Below are 22165 nucleotides of genomic sequence, written 5' to 3'. Positions count from 1 at the left end.
GTGCTGTGGCGCGATCTCGGCTCACCGCAACCTCCGCCTCCCAGGTTCAAGTGATTCTCCTGCCTTAGCCTCCCGAGTAGCTGGGATTACAGGCATGTGCCACCACGCCTGGCTAGTTTTGTATTTTTAATAGAGTTGTGGTTTCTCCATGTTGGCCAGGCTGTTCTTGAACTCCTAACCTCAAGTGATCCGCCTGCCTTGGCCTCCCAAAGTGCTGGGATTACAGGCGTGAGCCACCATGCCCGGCCACATTGCTCTTTCTTATTGGCTTTCCTATTGTAGGCATTGTAATGTCATGTAACTAACAAGTTAAAATTTTTTTTCTTTTTTTGAGACAGAGACTTTCTCTGTCACCCAGGCTGGAGTGCAACGGTGCGATCTCGGCTCACTGCAACCTCCATCTCCCAGGTTCAATTAATTCTCCTGCCTCAGCCTCCCGAGTGCCTGGGATTACAGGTGCCTGCCACCATGCCTGGTTAATTTTTGTATTTTTAGAGGCGGGGTTTCACCATGTTGGGCAGGCTGGTCTGGAACTCCTGACCTCAGGTGATCCACCTGCCTCGGCCTCCCAAAGTACTGGGATTACAGGCATGAGCCACCGCGCCCTGCCAAAAATTAAAAAAAAAGTTATTATTATTTTTTTGAGATGGAGTCTCACTCTGTTGCCCAGGCTAGAGTGCAGTGGCGCAATCTTGGCTCACTGCAACCTCTGCCTCCAGGGTTCAAGCAATTCTCCTGCCTTAGCCTCCTGAATAGCTGGGATTACTGGCGCCTGCCACCATGCCCAGATAAGTTTTGTATTTTTAGTAGAGACGGGGTTTCACCATGTTGGTCAGGCTGGTCTCGAACTCCTGAACTCGTGGTCCAGCTGCCTCGGCCTCCTAAAGTGCTGGGATTATAGGCGTGAGCCACTGTGCCCGGCCTAAAATTATTCTTTTAAAAATGGTAACAGGGTCTCACTATGTTGCTCAAGCTGGTTTCAAACTCCTGTGCTCAAGCAGTCCTCCTGCCTTGGCTTCCCAAAGTACTGGGATTACAGATGTGAGCCACTGTGCCTGGCCCCGAGTAGTTTTTATTGTATACGTATACTGTGACTGGAAGTTAGGACTGTTTTTAGGAAATACACTGTGAGATTTTGAAGTTTGCCGCATTGTCTTTGTTGTGATCAGTGTGAAGTTTTGAACATAGTGGATTTTGATTTAGGGGATGAAAATTCATTCAAGATGATACTGTCAGTTTTCAGAAATAATGAAGTTGTATAGTGTTTTCTGCAATGGAAAGCTGAACTTTTACAAAGGCTCAGTTAGCATTTCTGAAATGATGGTGTGCTAATTATCTGTTGAAATTTAATAATGAAAAATAAAATTTTCAGTCCATGGACAAATAAATAGTATTTTATAGATTAAAAAACTTTGTATTTCATAGAAAATTATCTTTTAATTCCAAAATTAGATTGAAAAATTATAAGCAGAAGTTGTCTGACATAGTTATGGGAAGTGTCTTTGGAAACCATGCTATATATGTTACAGATAATGTGATTAAAGGTTTTTTCTCACTTTTACCAAAATAAAATTAAAAGTAGAAAAATTTTTCTTTGTCGACTCTTTTATATCTAGTTTGAGTATGATTGAAGCAAAAGTTCATTTAAATGAAAGTGCTCTTAGGAATACTGTTTTGTCCTTTTAGAGCTATTTCTTCTTTTTTTTTTGTCTCTTTCATTTTTTTATTTTTATTTTTTATTTTTTTGAGACAGAGTCTCGCTCTGTCACCCAGGCTGGAGTGCAGTGGCGCAATCTTGGCTCACTGCAACCTCTGCCTCCTGGAATCAAGTGATTCTCCTGCCTCAGCCTCCTGAGTAGGTGGGATTACAGGCGCGCACTACTACGTCCAGCTAATTTTTGTATTTTTAGTAGAGACAGGGTTCCACCATGTTGGTCAGGCTGGTCTCGAACTCCTGACTGCATGATCCGCCCTCTTGGGCCTCTCAAAGTGCTGGGATTACAGGTGTGAGCCACCGTGCCCGGCCTTTGTTTTTTCGTTTTGAGACGGAATCTTGCTGTGTTACCCAGGCTGGAGTGCAGTGGCATGACCTCAGCTCACTGCAACCACTGCCTCCCAGGTACAAGTGATTTTCGTGTTTCAGCTTCTTAAGTAGCTGGCATTACAGGTGTGCACCACCATGCCTGTCTAGTTTTTTTATTTTTTATTTTTCTTTTTTTTTTTGAGACGGAGTCTTTGTCACCCAGGCTGGAGTGCAGTGGTGTGATCTCGGCTCATTGCAACCTTCACCTCCCAGGTTCAAGCGATTCTTCTGCCTCAGCCTCCCGAGTAGCTGGGAGTACAGGTGTGCACTACCACGCCCGGCTAATTTTTGTATTATTAGTAGAGACGGGGTTTTGCCGTATTGGCCAGGCTGTCTTGAACTCCTGACCTCATGGTCGGCGTGCCTTGGCCTCCGAAAGTGCTGGGTTTACAGGAGTCAGCCACCGTGCCTGGCCGCAAAATTTTTTAATACATTAGTTTTAAAAATGTGAGTGCGATGGAGGCAATGAATTACTTTTTAATGCTCTGAATGTCAGTCGAATCTATTTGATAGCTCCAAAATTTGGGAATTGTGAAGAAGAAAATATAACTTGTTATTTTTTAAACTTCATTTATTTTTAATTGTAATTATTGTTTTTTAGTGTTACCTGCCGGAATGGGGAAAACTTCATTCATTTAAGTGTGACATTAATGATTTTTTCTGTTAATAATTTTCTTCATTTTGGGGTTATTATTTACATAATGTATTTTCTTAAACCTGTTCATTTTTAAAAATCATAGATTTATTTATTTATTTAGAGACAGGGCCTTGCTTTGTCGGTCAGGCTAGAGTACAGTGGCATGATCTCGTCTCACTGCAACCTCCGTCTCCTGGGCTCAAGTGATCCTCCCACCTCAGGCTCCTGAGTAGCTGGGGCTACAGGCACGCACTACCACGCCTGGATAATTTTTTTTTTTTTTTTTTTTGAGACTGAGTCTCGCTCTGTCGCCCAGGCTGGAGTGTGGTGGCGCGATCTCGGCTCACTGCAAGCTCCGCCTCCCAGGTTCACGCCATTCTCCTGCTTCAGCCTCCCGAGTAAGTGGGACTACAGGCGCCTGCCACCACGCCCGGGGAATTGTTTGTATTTTTAATAGAGATGGGGTTTCACTGTGTTAGCCAGGATGGTCTCGATATCCTGATCTCGTGATCTGCCCGCCTCGGCCTCCCAAAGTGCTGGGATTACAGGCGTGAGCCCCTGCGCCAGGCCTGATTTTTGTATTTTTGGTAAAGACTGGATTTTGCAGTTGTCCAGGCTGGATATATTTCTTTAAAAAAGAAACATAAAGGGAAAAACATTCTCATTGTGATAAATAGAGGGTAACCATAAAAATGACAACAGTGAATACAAGACAATGGTAATAAATTTTAGCTGTATTCTCTTGAGTGTATAAGCCTTGGACCCTGAAGCTTGCTCTCTCTGATGTGACCAGCTTTCTTACTATGATTTGGTGCTGTTTGGTGTTACATTCATTATTTTTTTTTTTTTTTTTTGGGAACACACTCTAAGAAGATACATGAAAAAGAGAAAAAGGATTTGTATTTACTCCTGCAAAGTCAGAAGGAAAGGGAGAAAGAGTAGGATCTTGAGACATGACATTAGAACAATGAGATAATAGGTGCTTTTGGAGAGAGAGAGCTTGAATGAGATTGAAAGATGGGTCTGAATTTATTTTGGGCAGAGAAGTTTGTGGTCTAGTACCATCTTTCTAGTCATTGATTTGCCTTTTCTATTAGTGTCATATTTCCATTAGTTTTGTTTAGCACTCAAAATAACCTGGTTATTTGAAATGTTCATGCACTGTTTTTTTGAATTCACTAGAGAATAGTAGAAAATGAGAAGATTAATGCAGAAAAGTCATCAAAGCAGAAGGTAGATCTCCAGTCTTTGCCAACTCGTGCCTACCTGGATCAGACAGTTGTGCCTATCTTATTACAGGGACTTGCTGTGCTTGCAAAGGAAAGGTAAGATAATTGTGTCCACAAATGGAGTTAGTAAAGAAAGCAAAATAGATTCCCCTATCTGAAATATCATAGTTATGTATAGCGACTTTTTACTGTGTGATTTATGGATGTTAAAGTTTTTAAGAAAGTATTCAGCCATAATCTCATAATTCAGACATTTAAATTTTTTCCCACCAGTCTTAGATCATATGCATATTTGTAAAGATTTGTAATCATGATATACATGTAATTTTGATTTTTCTTTTTATTTATTATGACATAACATTTTTCTGTATCTCTCCACAGTCTTCATGATTATAATTTATTATTATTATTGTTATTTTGAAACAGAATCTAGCTCTGTTGCCCAGGCTGGAGGACGGTGGTATGATCTCGTTCACTGCAACCTCTACCTCCTGGTTTCAAGTGATTCTTGTGTCTCAGCCTCCCGGGTAGCTGGGACTACAGGCGTGGGCCACTACGCCCGGCTAATTTTTGTATTTTTAGTAAAGAAGGGTTTTCACCATGTTGGCCAGGCTGGTCTTGAACTCCTAACCTCAAGTGATCTGCCCGCCTCAGCCTTCCAAAGTTCTGGGATTACAGGCATGAGCCACTGCGCCCGGCCTATTATTATTATTCTTATTTTTTTTTGAGACAGAGTCTTGCTATGTCTCCCTGGCTGGAGTGCAGTGGTGCAACCCTGGCTCACTGCAACCTCCACCTCACCGGGTTCAAGCGATTCTCCTACCTCAGTCTACCGAGTAGCTGGGATTACAGGCACCTGCCACCACGCCTGGCTGATTATTGTATTTTTAGTAGAAACAGGGTTTGGAGTCTCGCTCTGTCGCCAGGCTGGAGTGCAGTGGCATGATCTTGGCTCACTGCAACCTCCACCTCATGAGTTCAAGAGATTCTGCCTTAGCTTCCTGAGCAGCTCAGGCACCCACCACCATGCCCGGCTAGTTTTTGTATTTTTAGTAGTGATGGGGTTTCACCATGTTGGCCAGAATGATCTCGATCTCTTGACCTTGTGATCCGCCCATCTCGGCCTCCCAAAGTGCTGGGATTATAGGCGTGAGCCACTGAGCCTGGCCTTAAATTTTCTTAATAGCAAGAGTACAATTATTTCTCTTTCTTTAACATGTTTTCCCCAGTATTTCTCACCTAAATTCTTTTTTGTGTAAGCAAATCTAATAAGAAAATTGGTTTTGCAAGTTAGACTAGTCAACGTTTATTAGGTGCATATTCTTTTTTATTCAAGGAATAATAATAAACATTATAATAGCAAACTGACATAACTTGATAAAGAACTTGATGGAACCATGTCTCATCTCAGCCAGGTGTGGTGGGGTATGCCTTAGTCCGCACTGCTTGGGAGGCCAAGGTGGGAGGATCGCTTGGGCTTGGGCCCAGGAGTTTGAGGCTGCAGTGAGCTGTGATCGCACCACTGCACTCCAGCCTGGGTGACAGAGTGAGACCCTGCCTCAAAAAAAAAAAAAAAAGGAAATATATCATTTCTTATAGTAAAAGTGAGTTATTAACTTAGAATAGATAATTTGTTTATATAAAAACTATATGAATGAGCAGTAAATATTTGTTTTTGATGGCTATATTTGTAAATTACCATTTATTTATGACTGAGCTATATCTTGGCTCTACTATCAACAATTAAAATATGGGTATCTTGGGCCGGGCGTGGTGGCTCACGCCTGTAATCCCAACACTTTGGGAGGCCGAGGCGGGCAGATCATGAGGTCAGGAGTTCGAGACCATCCTGGCTAATGCAGTGAAACCCTGTCTCTAGTAACGATACAAAAAATTAGCTGGGCGTGGTGGCAGGTGCCTGTAGGCCCAGCTACTCGGGAGGCTGAGGCAGGAGAATGGCGTGAACCCGGGAGGCGGAGCTTGCAGTGAGCCGAGATTGCGCCACTGCACTCCAGCCTGGGCAACAGAGCGACTCCGTCTCAAAAAAAAAAAAAAAAAAAAATGGGTATCTTGGTTGATTTGAAGGTAGTGAGTTAACTCGATTGTTGATAGTCTTACAGATCAAGCTCCTTATTCTACTCTTTTTTTTTTTTTTTTTGAGACAGAGTTTTGTTCTTGTTACCCAGGGCTGGAATGCAGTGGCATGATCTCAGGTCACTGCAACCTCCACCTCCTGGGTTCAAGCAGTTCTCTTGCCTCAGCCTCCTGAGTAGCTGGGATTACAGGTGCCTGTCAGCACACAAAGCTAATTTTTGTATTTTTAGTAGAGATGGGGTTTCACCATGTTGGCCAGGCTGGTCTTGAACTCCTGACCTCAGGTGATCCACTGTGCCCAGCTGGTTTTTTTTTTTTTTTTTTTGAGACAGAGTCTCTGTTGCCCAGGCTCGAATGCAGTGGCACAGTCTCAGGTCACTGCAGTCTCTGACTCCCAGTTCAAATGATTTTCCTGCTTCAGCCTCCCGAATACCTGGGACCACAGGTGTGTGCCACCACACGTGGCTAATTTTTGTATTTTCAGTAGAGATGGGGTTTCACCATGTTGGCCAGGCTGGTCTCTAACTCCTGACCTCAGGTGGTCTGCCCTCATTGGCCTCCCAAAATGCTGGGATTATAGGTGTGAGCCATCGTGCCTGGCCCTTATTCCCCTATTCTACTCTTTTCGCCCTTCTCACTATTGCACTTGAGTAGTCTTAAAAAAAAAAAAAAGGGAAAAAAGGAAAAAAATATGGATATCTTTTCTATTTTTTTGTTTTTCCTCTAGGGAAGACTAATATATTAGAAATTTAAAATATTACTGTATTTATTTATTTATTTATTTTTTGAGACGGAGTTTTGCTGTGTTGCCCAGGCTGGATGCTATGTTGCTCAGAGTGGAGTGCAGTGGCACGATGTCAGCTCACTGCAACCTCCGCCTCCCTGGTTCAAGAAATTCTGCCTCAGCCTCTGGAGTAGCTGGAACTACAGGCGCCTGCCATCGTGCCTGGCTAATTTTTGTATTTTTAGTAGAGATGTGGTTTTACCATGTTGATTAGGCTGGTCTGGAACTCCTGATTTCAGGTGATCTGCCTGCCTCGGCCTCCTGAAGTGTTGGGATTACAGGCATGAGCCATTACACTCGGCCTCCAAATATTACTTTAAATGCTAGAAAAACTTTTGAAGAAATTTTTAAGTTCAAGCTCGTAAATACATTTAAAAAATTTTTTTTATTGTTAATTTTTTTGAGACAAGTTCTCGCTCTGTCATCCAGGCTGGAGTGCAGTGGCAAGATCACCACTCACCGCAGCTTCAGCCTTCTGGGCTTAAGCAATCCTCTCACCTCAGCCTTCTGAGTAGGTGGGACTACAGGCGTGTGCCACTATGCCAGGCTAATTTTTAAACTTTTTTGAAGAGTTGGGGTCTTACTATGTTGCCCAGGCTTGGAAGTGATCCTCCTTGGACTCCCAAAGTCCTGGGATTACAGGCATGAGCCACTGCAACTGGCCAGTAAATATATTTTTTGTTAAAACACAAATTTTTTTTTTTGACATGGAGTCTTGCTCTGTTGCCCCAGCTGGAATACAGTGGGGGCAATCATGGCTTACTGAAGCCTCGAACTCCCAGGCTCAAGTGATTTTTCCACCTAACCTCCTGAGTAGCTGTGACTACAGGTGTGCGCCACCACGCCTGGCTGATTTTTTGTATTTTCTGTAGAGACAGGGTTTTGTCACGTTGCCAGGTTGATTTTGAACCCTTGGGCTCAAGCTATCTGCCTGCCTTGGCCTCCCAAAGTGTGAGGATTATAAGCGTGAGCCACCGTGCCCGGCCCAAGTACGGTGTTGTTTTTTTTTTCCCCCCGGCCCAAGTACGGTTTTTTTTTTTTTTCTTTCCAAGACGGAGTCTTGTTCTGTTGCGGCAGGCTGGAGGGCAGTGGCTCGATCTTGGTTCACTGCAACCTCTGCCTTTGGGGTTAAAGTGATTCTCATGCCTCATCCTCCTGAGTAGCTGGGACTACAGGCATGCACTACCACGCCCGGCTAATTTTTTGTATTTTTAGTGGAGACAGGATTTCACCATGTTGGCCAGGCTGGTCTCAAACTCCTGACCTTGTGATCTGCCCGCCTTGGCCCTCTAAAGTGCCAGGATTACAGGCATGAGCCACCGTACCCGGTCAAATACAATTTTTTTTTTGAGACGGAATCTTGCTCTGTCGCCCAGGCTGGAGTACAGTGGCATGATCTCGGCTCACTGCAACCTCCACCTCCCGGGTTCAAGTGATTCTTCTGCCTCAGCTTTCTGAGTAGCTGGGATTACAGGTGCGCACTGCCATGACCGGCTAATTTTTGTATTTTTAGTAGAGATGGAGTTTCACCATGTTGGTCAGGACTGTCTTGAACTCCTGACCTCATGATCCACCCGCCTCGGCTTCCCAAATGCTGGGATTACAGGCATGAGCCACTGCGCCTGGCCCCAAATACATTTTTTAAGTAAAGAGTTCTGGTAAAGTAATTCATCATGTGAACCCTAAATACTAAGTGAAAAATCTTGTCTATTTGTAGACAGCTCTTAGGGCTGTTTAAAGTGCTCTGGGAATGTTTTGAGATCATTGTAAACATATTTTCAATATGCCTTTTCATAGCAGAGTTTAAAATAGATGTCTCCCCAATTTTTCAACTTTGGACTTGTATTCTCAGCAAGAATAATTTATATAGAAGTGTTAATATCAAATATCTGCTGTTAGTTTTATAAATGTGTTTATCTTCTTAGGTGTACTGTAGTTGTATTAAATAGAATTATTGACTTAAATTATTCGAAGAAAGAAAGAAGTAGCTTTTAGAAAAGAAACATAACCTACTTATCTGTATTAGTGTTGCTTCTTTGACTAATCACTTGAGTTCATCTACATGTCTTAGTGATGCTACATCCACTGTCCTATATTATTTTTGTTCTTTTATTGAAGGATATTACACAGAATATTACACATATCATAGGTATACAGCTTGATGAATTTTCACAAACTAAACATACCTGTGTAGCTTGCAGTCAGATCAAGAAACTGAATACTGCCAGCATCTCAGAAGCCATCCATGTGACCCCTTCAAGTCATTATTCTTTCTGGGGTAATGATCATCCCATTGTCAATACATTTTTTAAACATGTTTTAAAATTGAGTTCATAACCAGATTTAAGCCATACAAAAATTTCAGTCTCATTAAACTATTTTGTTGGCTAATTAATTTGCTTGCTTATCTCATTTATTTTATTTACTACAAATGTCCTTTGACTGTGAAATGAAAATTAAACTTAAAAAGATGAGTTTTCATTATGGAACAATATGTTTAAATTAACACACCTAGGAAATATATTTCTAAACTTTGGATTTCTTTTCCCTTACAGACCACCAAATCCCATTGAATTTCTAGCATCTTATCTTTTAAAAAACAAGGCACAGTTTGAAGATCGAAACTGACTTAATGGGAAGAACAGAAAAATTTAGTTGCTACTGTAGATTTACATGATTAAGAGGCAGCTTTAATTGCCATGATCATTCCCTCTTTTTGGATGTATAAGAACCTTCCGGACAACAGAACCTATTTCTGGAATTGCAGAAGATAACATATTTCCCTTATTTTGATTTAATCACCATAAACCATACCTATTTAATGAGTGTATTCTGTGCAATTTTTTTCTCAGATTGTCTTTAACTTTGTTTTTAAAATGACCTTCAAAATAAACTGTCAAAACACCATTATTTTAAAGTAGTTTTTGTTCTGTATGACAAATATTTTACATGATTGAATTGTTTTATGAATTTCTCTTTTTCTTCTGTCTTCAAATGCTGCAGAGTTTTACAACAGAGAGAAAATACAGCAGTCAAGTATAATTTAAAAAATTCAGCCAATTTTTCTCAGCATTGTTTCTGGACCTTTCTGAGGGTGGGATCTGGGCATCTTCAATGGCTTAACAAGTATCACAGGTGATTCTAATGTACATTAAAGTTGGAGTACTAATAAAAGCATTGCAAAGGGGATACAATATCTTCTAATGTTATCAACATTTATAGTAATAGCTGTAATTTATTGCATTCCTACTAAGTTTCAGGCATAGTACATTTTTACTTAAATGATCTCTGATATAAGCAGCTCTGCAAAGTAGATATTATTATTCCCATTTTGCAGATGAGGAAACAGACTTGGAGAGGTTAAGTGACATGCTCAAGACAACACTGCTGGTAAGTTTTTGGGAATTCAAATCCTGTTCTACCAATGTGTTGCTGAATTTCATTGCTTCTCTTTGCAATAAAAAGCAGCAGCCAGTCCTTTTTGGGGTCTATTCTCATTGTCCCCTGTGAAGAAATTGAGATAGCTCACTAGCTCAGAAAATAGAGAAACTGCCTTAAGAGAGCCAGGAAAAACATTCACTAGAGCAGTGGTTCTCAAATATGAGTGATTATCTCTCCCCACCCCCATTTCCCCAGAGAACATTTGTTGATGTCTAGACACATTTTGGTTGTCACAACTGGAATAAGGTGGGGTTCTTGAACTCCTGACCTTGTGATCCACCTGCCTTGGCCCCCCAAAGTGCTGGGATTACAGGCATGAGCCACCATGCCCAGCTAGGTGGGGTTCTACTGGCATCTAGTGGGTATAGATGCTGCTGAAACATCTTAACAATGAATAGGATAGCCTGTATGCCCATCTTCTCCCTCCCCAAGAATTATCTAGCTTAAAATGTCAGTGCCAAAGTTGAAAAACCCTGCATTAGAAGCCTATTAAAGTCGTGTGTCTCCATGCTAAACATGTTAAGGCCTTTGCAAAGTTAGAAATTTAATGTGATTGGCCGGGTGCGGTGGCTCACGCCTGTAATCCCAGCACTTTGGGAGGCCGAGGCAGGTGGATCACAAGGTCAGGAGTTCGAGACCAGCCTGGCCAATATGGTGAAACCCTGTCTCTACTAAAAATACAAAAATCAGCCAGGCATGGTGGCATGTGCCTGTCGTCCCAGCCACTCGGGAGGCTCAGGCAGAAGACTTGCTTAAACCTGGGAGGCAGAGGTTGCAGTGAGCCGAGATTGTGCCACTGCACTCCAGCCTGGGCGACAGAGTGAGACTGTCTCAAAAAGAAAAAAAATTAAAAAAAAAAATACATAAATACATAATGCTGATTAGGTATGCCTTATAATTTTCTTTAATACAGGAAATACTTATTTTAGTAGAACTGACACTTATGGGAGGTATTATGTTTTTGGTTTACATCTGCAAATCTACATATTTGAATAGGAAAAACCTGGACATACTGGGATCTTCTTATATAGTAGTTTTCATAAGTATTCTATCAAATTTATTTTGGTTATTTGGCTAACTCATAAGTTAATCCACCCAAGTCTTTTTAGTGATTTTTTAACATTTGAGTAGTAATTGGGTAATTTTTTTTTTTTTTTTTTTGAGACAAGGTCTCGCTCTGTCACTCAGGCTGGAGTGCAATGGCGTGATCTTGGCTCACTGCAACCTCTGGCTCCCAGGCTCAAGTGATTCTCCTGTGTCAGCCTCCTGAGTAGATGAGACTACAGGTGCATGCCACTGTCCCCAGCGAATTTTTGTATTTTTAGTAGAGACGGGGTTTCACTATGGTGGCCAGGCTGGTCTCGAATTCCTGACCTCAGGTGATCTGCCCACCTCAGCCTCCCAAAGTGCTAGGATTATGGGTGTGAGCCACCACGCCCATAATTGGGTAATCTTATTAAGGGATCAATAATCTTCTAGCAGTGGTTCTTTACCGACGATTCTCATCAGAGCTACTTGGGGGAACTTTTCAAATATAAGTATAAACAATATAAACATAAAAATCAATATAAAAATACAAATTTTGTACATAATATAAGTATTATTTATGTGTTAACGGGCCTCTAAAGCTGTCACCTGGTGAACATGACCCAATGGGACACAGCCTTTTTTGTTGTTGCTTTTTTTTTTTTTGAGATGGAGTCTTGCTCGGTTGCCCAGGCTGGAGTGCAGTGGCGCAATCTCAGCTCACTGCAACCTCCGCCTCCTGGGTTCAAGCGATTCTCCTGTCTCAGCACCCCCCAGTAGCTGGGATTACAGGTGTGTGCCACCATACCTGGCTAATTTTTGTAGTTTTAGTAGAGACAGGGTTTTACCATGTTGGCCAGGCTGGTCTTGAACTCCTGACCTCAGGTGATCCACCCGCCTCAGCCTCCCAAAGTGCTGGAATTATAGGTGTTAGCCACCGTGTCCGGCCTGACAAAAATCTTTAAGGCATTCTGATACCTGTGGTTAAGGATTGATTAGAAGATATTCTAGTTTTGGAAGTATAAATATTCAATACTCGACCTAGTGGTAAGGGCTGAGAATAGAAATGTCTTTTTATTAAGCTTTTTAGACGGAGTCTCGCTCTGTCGCCCAGGCTGGAGTGCAGTGGCTCACCGCAACCTCCGCCTCCCAGGTTCAAGCAATTCTCCTGCCTCAGCCTCCCTAGTAGTTAGGACTACAGGCGCACGCCACCACACCCGGCTAATTTTTTGTATTTTCTTACAGACGGGGTTTCACCGTGTTGCCCAGGCTGGTTGCGAACTCCTGAGCTCAGGCAATCTGTCCGCCTCGGCCTCCCAACGTGCTAGGATTACAGGCGTGAGCCACCGTGCCCGGCCAATTTTTTTTTTTTTTTTAAGAGGTGAGGTCTCACTATGTTGCCCAGATGGTCTGTCTCAAACCCCTGACCTCATGAGATCCTGCTGCCTTGGCCTCCCAAAGTGCTGGGATTACAGGTGTGAGCCACTGTGCCTGGCAAGGAATGTCTTTTCCTGCCAGTCCACATAATACTTACTTGAGTATTTATGTGCCAGGCAGCATGTTAAATATTTACGTGAGTTGTCATTTAATCCTTGAACCTGTGAGGTGGATTTAAGTTTAAAAAATTTATCCCTATTTAATTTTATTTAAAAAATCACTTTATCAGAGTATAATTGAACAAAAAGCTGTATATATTTAATATATACAACTTGATTACTTTGGAGATAACTATAGATCACTGAAACCATAACTACCATCAAGGCCATAAACATATTCCTCACCCCTCAAAATTTGGGGTAGGTTTAATTTTAATTTTAATACTTTATTTATTTAGAGATGAGGTCTTGCTCTGTCACCCAGGTTGGAGTGCAATGGCATGGTCATAGCTCACTGCAACCTTGAAGCCCTAAGCTCAAGTGAGCTTCTTGCCTTAGCCTTCCAAGTAGCTAGGACTATAGGTATACTGCTGAGCCTGGCTAATTTTTTTTTATTTGAAGCTTTTGCAGAGACGGGTTCTCACTGTGTTGACCAGGCTAGTCTTGAACTCGAACTCCTGGCCTCAAGCTATCTACCTGTCTATAATCCCACGGTGCTGGGATTATAGGTGTGAGAGCCACTGTGCCCAGCCTATTTGTTTTTGAGACGGAGTCTTGCTCTGTCACCCAGGCTGGAGCCCAATGGTAAGAGCATAGCTTACTCCTGGGCTCAAGTCATCTTCTTGCGTCAGCCTCCTGAGCAGGTGGGACTACAGGCACACACCACCACGCCCGGCTAGTTTAACACTTCATTTATAGATGAAACATTTGAATAATTTCCTTAAGGTTACAGAGGAATTAAGTTTTTGGCAGGGATTCAAACCCATCTTAACATTATATATATATATGTATATGTTTTTACATATACATATATATGTACAAATATATGTATATGTTTATGTTTATATATATACACACATATACATATATATATACACATATATATGTGTGTGTATATATATATATATATATATTTTTTTTTTTTTTTTGAGACGGAGTTTTGCTCTTTTTGCCCAGGCTGGAGTGTGATGGCTTGATCTCAGCTGACTGCAACCTCTGCCTCCTGGGTTCAAGCAAATCTCCTGCCTCAGCCTCCCTAGTAGCTGGGATTACAGGCGCACACCACCACACCCAACTAATTTTGTATTTTTAGTAGAGACGGGTTTTGCCATGTTGGCCAGGCTGGTCTCAAACTCCTGACCTCCAGTAATCCACCTGCCTCGGCCTCCCAAAGTGTTGGGATGGTGGCTCACAGGCGTGAGCCACCACCCCCTGCCAATACTATATATATATTTTTTTGAGACAGCGTCTGGCTGTGTTTTCCAGGCTGGAGTGCAGTGATATGATCTTGACTCACTGAAATCTGCCTCCTCGGCTCAAGCCGGTCTCTCATCTTAGCCTCCTAAGTAGCTAGGACTACAGGCATGCACCACCACGCCAGGCTAATTTTAGCTTAATACCCTATTACCTCTCAGGTGTGTCTAAATTTTTCTTTGATGGAAAAACTAGTCCCACTGATCTAGCTAGTAGATGAAAAAGTGAGTCACCAATTAGCTGGGTGCGGTGGGGCGTGCCTGTAGTCCCAGCTGCTCAGAAGGCTGAGGCTGGAGAATGGCTTGAACCCAGAAGCAGAGGTTGTAATGAGCTGAGATCGTGCCACTGCACTCCAGCCTGGGTGATAGAGCGAGACTCTGTCTCAAAATAAATAAATAGATAAATAAAAGTGAGTCACTGTAGGTAATCATAAATGATACATACTGTAGAAAGTTTTTTTGTTTGTTTTTGAGATAGAGTCTTGCTCCATCACCCAGGTTGGAGTGTAGTGGGATGATCTCAGCTCACTGCAGCCTTGACCTCCTAGGCTCAAGTGATCCTCCCACCTCAGCCTCCTGAGTAGCTGGGACTACAGGTGCTTGCCACCATGTCTGGCTAATTTGCTTTTTTTGTATTTTTCATAGAGACAGGATTTCACCATGTTGCCCAGGCTGGTCTTGAACTCCTGGGCTCAAGCAATCGCCCGCCTTTGCCTCCCAAAGTGCTGAGATTACAGGCATGAGCCACCATGCCTAGCTGTAAACATTTTTTTTTTTGAGATGGAGTCTCGCTCTCTCGCCCATGCTGGAGTGCAATGGCATGCTCTCTGCAACCTCCACCTCCCGGGTTCAAGTGATTCTCCTGCCTCAGCCTCCTGAATAGCTGGGACTACAGGTGAGTGTCACCATGCCCGGCTAATTTTTTATATTTTAAGCAGAGACGGTGTTTCACCATGTTAGCTAGGATGGTCTTTCTCTCCTGACCTCGTGATCCACCTGCCTAAGCCTCTCAAAGTGCTGGGATTACAGGCGTGAGCCACTGTGCCTGGCTGACATTTTTTTTTAAACTTAAAAATATTCTATATGAATTTGGTAATTTTTTGATTTTAGTCTTGTCTTTGGGTATGAGTTCTTTCATGGAATTCTGTATTGTCCTTCTTCCACAAAGCACACCTATGATGCATGGTCTAAAAATTTCAGTTTCAAATTTTTTGGAAGTATCTTAAGGTTTAGACCTTTAAGAATTAATTTGTAGAATGCTAGATTTGTTTTATCAGTCTTTACTCATCTTGTCTGCCTCTGACAGTTTTTTTTTAATTGAGTCTTTCTAAAACATTCAACCTAATTTTTCTACAAACGTGTCTTAGTCCTTCTGGCCTGCTATAACAAAATACTATAGATTGGGTGGCCTGTAAACAACAATTTATTTCTCACAATTCTGGAATCTGAGAAGTTCAAGATTAAAGTTGTGTAGTGAGGGCCTACTTTCTGGTTCACAGATGGCACCTCCTAGCTTTGTCTTCACATTGTGGACATGGACTAGCTAGATCTCTGAGGTCTCTTATAAGGCCACTAATCCATTCATAAAATGACTGAATTACCTCTGAAAGATCCCCCACTCATAATGCCATCGCCTTAGTGGTTAGGATTTCAACATATGAATTTGGGGGGAACACAGCATTCAGACCATAGCACACCTTTTGTGTTATGTATTTGTATTTCTTTGGCTTATGTAATGTTTAATTAAATTACGTAATGGCAGTACCTAATAGAACTGGTATAAATAAGTTGGAGAACATAATTGATCCTTGTTGGGCATACACACAAATATAGAAAGAGTGCCATAATGTGAGAGTTTCTTTTTTCTTTTTTTTTTTTTTTGAGATGGTGTTTTGGTCTTCTTGCCCAGGCTGGAGTGCAATGGCACTATCTCGACTCACTGCAACCTCCGCCTCCCAGGTAGAAGCTTCTTCTGCCTCAGCCTCCCAAGTAGCTGGGATTATAGATGCCTGCCACCATGCCCGGCTAATTTTTGTATTTTTAGTAAAGACTGGGTTTCACCATGTTGGCCAGGCTGGTCTCAAACTCCTAACCTCAGATGATCTGCCCGCCTTGGCCTCCCAAAGTGCTGGGATTATAGGCATAAGCCACCACCCCCAGCTGAGAGTTTCTTAAAGAGTGGAGCCCAGTAGCTTTAGGAGTTCAGTTTATTCATGGGCATTATTCAGTGTATTTTACTGAGGTAATGGAGAGCATCACTTAAACTCTCATAAACTGGTTAAATGGAAGTCAGTTTAGAAAGTTACTACTATATGGCCGGGCGCCGTGGCTCACGCCTGTAATCCCAGCACTTTGGGAAGCCGAGGTGGGTGGATCACCTGATGTCAGGAGTTTGAGACCAGCCTGGCCAACATGGTGAAACCCTGTCTCTACGAAAAATACAAAAATTAGCCGGGTGTGGTGGTCGACACCTGTAATCCCAGCTACTCGGGAGGCTGAGGCAGGAGAATCGCTTGAACCCGGGAGGCGGAGGCTGCAGTGAACCGAGATCGCGCCATTGCACTCCAGCCTGGGTGACAGAATGACACTCTGTCTCAAAAAAACAACAACAAAAAAGAAACTATTATATTTTGGTGTCATATATTATATATAACTGGAAATCATATAAACAGTTCCTAACCTTTGACCATTTAATGATGACGTCGTTTAGTAAATAAATACAAAGATTGAGTAAAACCTACTGTATCCCTTAAGAGTGAGTTCATGAATTACGTTGGTGGGTGGGTTAGTTGGGAGTATCAGTAGATTGAATCAGGAATAGATTCCTGGAGGAAATAGAAACCTTGAATTGAAAAAAAAAGGGAGGAGAGTGGGTTGGATAGAAGGAGATCAATCTACCTAGTTCTGATGCAGCTAAAGGAAGAATATTGAACTTTTATTTAAATGTCATTTAGGAGAAGGTACAGTGGGATTTTAAGATGGATAACTTCCTGTTAGAAGCGATAGAATCGTTTTAGGAAGAGCATACAAAACTGTAGCCAGGTATTTTCCTGGACTGGATTCCAAAATGGCATTACCAATTGGAGGCCTGATGACATATCATCAAACTGGAAAAATGAGGCACAAAAGATGAAACTGGTGAGTGGCTATAACAGAAAATCCACTTATTAAAAAATAAAATCTCTGGGTGTAAATTAGCAAAGAAGAAAAGTAATAAAATAGTGGAAAATAGGTCACTAGTGATAAAAGGGGTAGTTGGTAATGAGTAATTGTTTTTTAAAAAACCTTGCCAGCCTTTGGCCGGGCACGGTGGCTCACACTTGTAATCCCAGCACTTGCAAGGCCGAGGCAGGCAGATCACCAGAGGTCAGGAGTTCGAGACCAGCCTGGCCAATATGGTAAAAACCCCAGCTCTGCTAAAAATATAAAAATTAGCCAGGCATGGTGGTGTGTGCCTGTAATCCCAGCTACCCGGGAGGCTGAGGCAGGAGAATTGCTGGATCTGGATCCCTAGAGGCGGTGGAGGCTGCAGTGAGCCGAGATTGCGCCAGTGCACTCCCTGGGCAACAGAGCAAGACTCTGTCTCAAAACAAAATCAACCTTGGCAGTCTTTAACAAAGCTTTGTATTTTTTTTTTTTTTTTTTTTAGACAGGGTCTTGCTCTGTCAGCCTTGACTGCAGTGGCACAATCATAGGTCACTGCAGCTTTGAACTCCTGGGCTCAAGCAATCCTCCTGCCTCAGCCTCCCGAGTAGCTGGTACTACAGGGCGCGGTACTACAGGGGCGTGCTACTATGTCAGGCTAATTTGTTTTTAGTAGAGATGAGATCTTGCTGTGTTGCCCCAGGCTGGTCTTCACCTCTTGAACTGATCCTCCTGCCTTGGCCTCCCCAAATTTTGGGATTATAGGTGTGAGCCACTGTGCCTGGCTCCTTATATCTTTTGACTCTGTTGTTCCATTTCTGAGAGTCCTAAATATTAATAAATATGGAAAAAAGCTCTATGTAAAAAATTGTATTACAAAACATTGGAAATGAATAAATTTTTATCTTACAGGAATTATTAAATATCTAATGTACTTAGTCTAGTGTTCAGATACACAGTATTTAATAAATACTGTTTATTATGTTTGGTTTCTAAGGTAGACAGGGGCAAAGTTGACTGACACTAGGTTAGAACACTAGTTTTAGTTGAAATCAAAAGACCCTCTCTGTGTTAAACTCTTCTCTTGATTTGTTCAAAATGCTGTGTTACTATTGTAAAATATTTTTCTGATCTATAGGGCTTTCAGTGTTAGGGTGCTTCTAAAGCTGTTAGTTGTGGATAAGTAGAATCTAAAAATGGTCAGTTTAATATTGCTGTGTAGATTCAAAATCAAGCCTAAAGATGGAAAAATAGAGGTTTTTTTTTTTGTTTGGTATGTAGTATATGTATATGGCACAAAATACAAAAGATATGCAAAGATATACATTGGAAAGGTTAAATCCTTTTTCCATCCTTCCACCTCAGCCACCCAGTTACTTCTAGAAGTGATTACCTTCTAGAAGTATTCCATGCATATGCAAGTATATGAAAATACAATTATTCATTTCTATACAAATGGAAGCATACTTTATACATTCTGTAATTTGCTTTTTTCACTTTTTTGAAACTCTTTCCATACTAGTATATAGTGCCATTTCATTCTTCTTTTTTTTTTTAAAGATGGGGTCTCGGCCAGGCGTGGTGGCTCACACCTGTAATCTCAGCATTTTGGGAGGCCGAGGCGGGCAGATCACGAGGTCAGGAGATCGAAACCATCCTGGCTAACATGGTGAAACCCCATCTCTACTAAAAATACAAAAAATTAGCCGGGCGTGGTGGTGGGCGCCTGTAGTCCCAGCTACGCGGGAGGCTGAGGCAGGAGAATGGCATGAACCCGGGAGGCGGAGCTTGCAGTGAGCCGAGACCGCACCACTGCACTCCAGCCTGGGCAACAGAGCGAGACTCCGTCTCAAAAAAAAAAAAAAAAGATGGGATCTCACTGTGTTGCCCAGCCTGGAGTGCAGTGGTGTGATCATAGCTCATTGCAGTCTCAAACTCCTGGGCTAAAGCAATCTTTCCCACTTCAGCCTCCCAAGTACCTGAGGCCATAGGTGTGTGCCACTGTGCCTGGCAAAGTTTTAAAATTTATTTTTAGCTTTTTTTTGTCTTGCTATGTTGTCCAGGCTGGTCTCGAACTCCTGGCCTCAAGTGATCCTCCTGCCTCAGCCTTCCAAAGTGCTGGGATTACAGGCATGAGCCACTGTGCCCAGCCACTTCATTCTTTTTAATGGGTGCGTATGTATATCCTAGTTTAACAAGTTTCACATTGGTGGACATTGTGGTTGTTTCTAGTTGTTTGCTACTACTGAATGCTGCAGTAAATATTGGACATGCTGCCTTCCTTCCCTTCCCTTCCTCCCTCCCCTCCCTCCCTCTCTGTCTCTCTCTTTCTCTCTTTCTTTCTTTCTCAGAGTCTTGCTCTTGTCACCTAGGCTGGAGTGCAATGGCATGATCTCGGCTCACAGCAACCTCTGCCTCCCAGGTTCAAGCGATTCTCCTGCCTCAGCCTCCCGAGTTGCTGGGATTACAGGCACCTGCCACCACGCCTGGCTAATTTTTGTATTTTTAGTGGAGATGGGGTTTTGCCCTTTTGGCCAGGCTGGTCTCAAACTCTTGGCCACGTGATCCGCCCGCCTTGGCCTCCCAAAGTGCTGGGATTACAGGCAGGAGCCACCGCGCCCGGCCTGCCTTCTTATTTCTTGAAGTCTGAGCTTCATAAGGATTGTCTGTTAATAAAAGTTTCCTCCTTGCTCCCTACTATGAATAATGCTTATGCAGTGTCAAACCAAAATCACTAGTGGATATAATGGAAATTATTGATAATAACATGAAAATTGTACAGTATTGCCAGATAAGCTTCTCCTAAAATACAAAGTATTTTGCATTATATGAATTTTCCTTAATTTAGGGGAGGTGAATAAATGAATAGTTTCAACCTCTTTCAAGGGTATACTTGAGTAAGGTAGCTAGAATAAGGTGGACAGGGGGAATAATTGTGGCACGTATTGAGAGCATCCTAGAGATAACATAATTATCTGCTAACCTTTCAGTTCAATTGCATTGTGATCTTTATTCAGTTTGACCAGCAAGAAAATTTCAGTAGAGCATTTTAATAGGGAGAAAGCTGAATTTTAAATTAGATTACTAGTTTGGAATGAGACTTACGATTGTTGCTAGGAGTAGAGGATAATAATAAGAACAAATATTTATAAAGAACAGCTTATGAAGCATTTTAACATACCTTAATAATTCTCACAGCAAGCATATGAGTTAGCTATTACTCCTGTTTGCATTTGACAGATAACACTGAGGCTAGAAAAGGTTAAATTACTAGATGTCCATGGTCACACAGCTGATGAGTGACAGGGCCAGGACTCAAATCTGACTTTCTAATTTGAAGGGCCTGAAATACTAAGCTTTCTTTGTTTAATTGTATCCAATCCCCTCTCCACCACCCCACAACACCCCACACCTCTTTTCCATAGAAACAAAATCAGCAATAAATAACCATAAGAACCATCATCATATAAACACTTAGGGCAGTTTCCTTTTCTTGCAACTTACAACAAAACTTTACCATTTTATCAATGATCACTGAGTTTTGGTACTGTCAGAACAGTACCATGTAATCAGAGCTCAAGCCTTCTTTTTTCTGTTACCTCTAAAGTAGCTTTGGCCTGGGTGCGATGGCTCATGCCTGTAATCCCAGCACTTTGGGAGGCCGAGGCCGGTGGATCACCTGAGGTTAGGAGTTCAAGACCACCCTGGCCAACATGGTGAAACCCTGTCTCTACTAAAAATACAAAAATTAGCTGGGCATGGTGGATGGTGGTGGGCACCCATGATCCCAGCTACTCTGGAGGCTGAGGCAAGAGAATCACTTGAACTCGGGAGGCGGAGGTTGCAGCGAGCCCAGATCGAGCCACTGCACTCCAGCCTGGGTGACAGAGCAAGACTCTGTCTCAAAAAAAAAAAAAAAAAAAAAAAAAAAAAGAAAAAAGAGAGAGGTTTTGGATACATGGTATGTCCATTTTTTTTTTGTTGCATATTATGTTTTGTGCAAGTTGGTGGAGAGGGTAAAATTTGAGTAAACAAATATACAGTGGAGATTTTAGCCTAATTAGAAAAAGGTATGAGAGTCAGAAGTGTTCCAGTAATTGACTAGGCTTTAGGACAGGGATACTGCACAAAATCCTTGGGCCCTGAAGTTGGAGAAGGTGGGAGGAGGAGAGGAAACAGAATAGCACTTTTAAAAGTAAACTTGAATACTAGACAGCCAGTCATCTACTCTGGAATCTGTCAGGGGCTTGTTTAGTATGAAACTCAGATATAATTTTTTTTCTTTTCTTTTTTGAGACAGGGTCTTGCTACGTACGTTGCCCAGGTTGGAATGCAGTGGCGTGATCATGGCTCACTGTAGCCTCGACCTCCTGGGCTCAAGTGATCCTCCCGCCTCCGCCTACCAAGTAGCTAGGACCACAGGCGAAGCCACCACGCCCGGATAATTAAAAAATAAAAAATTCATAGAAACAGGGTCTCCTATGTTCCCCAGGCTGGTCTAGAACTCCTGGCCTCAGGCAGTCCTACTGCCTCAGGCCCCCAAAGTGCTGGGATTATAGGCAGGAGGTACCATGCCCATGCAGTTACAAACATTTTATAGTGTTTGCCCCAAAACTTTCATTGGATGTATGCAACTTTCTCTTCCTCTATTCCTACTTTTGCAATGGTGTACTTTGTAACAATAACACTTCCTCAGAGGTCCAAGATAGCCTCCTTTGCTGTGATTCTTATACAATTGTAAAAAAATTATTTGTTCCTGACATTTATGTGGAATACTGGGATTTATAAGATGACAAAGGTGAAAATAATATTTGTTGTAGGCTTACCCTGTCAGGCTGTTCACATTCAACAGCTCTTATAATCGTAGGTACACTCCTTG

General features: G+C 42.2%; 1 protein-coding gene across 11 annotated transcripts in view; it reads left to right on the top strand.

The window, feature by feature from the left end:
• The window catches only part of DPY30 (dpy-30 histone methyltransferase complex regulatory subunit), a 28187-nt gene extending 6197 nt beyond the window's left edge, over positions 1-21990 (top strand). For 2 of the 11 annotated variants that reach the window (XM_047446037.1, XM_011533133.3), the window contains exons 4-7: positions 3903-4045; positions 9831-9962; positions 10165-10217; positions 21587-21990. In XM_047446037.1, coding sequence (XP_047301993.1) covers positions 3903-4045; positions 9831-9962; positions 10165-10168 — 279 coding nt within the window. In that variant the 3' untranslated portion in view covers positions 10169-10217; positions 21587-21990. Of the gene's footprint in view, positions 1-3902; positions 4046-9382; positions 9748-9830; positions 10017-10164; positions 10218-12539; positions 13722-19658 lie in introns of those variants that run through there. The other 9 variants (NM_001321209.2, NM_032574.4, XM_047446038.1 and 6 more) reach the window with 8 other exon arrangements.
• Positions 21991-22165: the final 175 nt, after the last annotated feature.

The sequence above is a fragment of the Homo sapiens genome, chromosome 2 (genome assembly GCF_000001405.40).
Source record: "Homo sapiens chromosome 2, GRCh38.p14 Primary Assembly".
NCBI lineage: Eukaryota > Metazoa > Chordata > Mammalia > Primates > Hominidae > Homo > Homo sapiens.
This window is presented reverse-complemented; position numbering and strand designations above follow the sequence as displayed.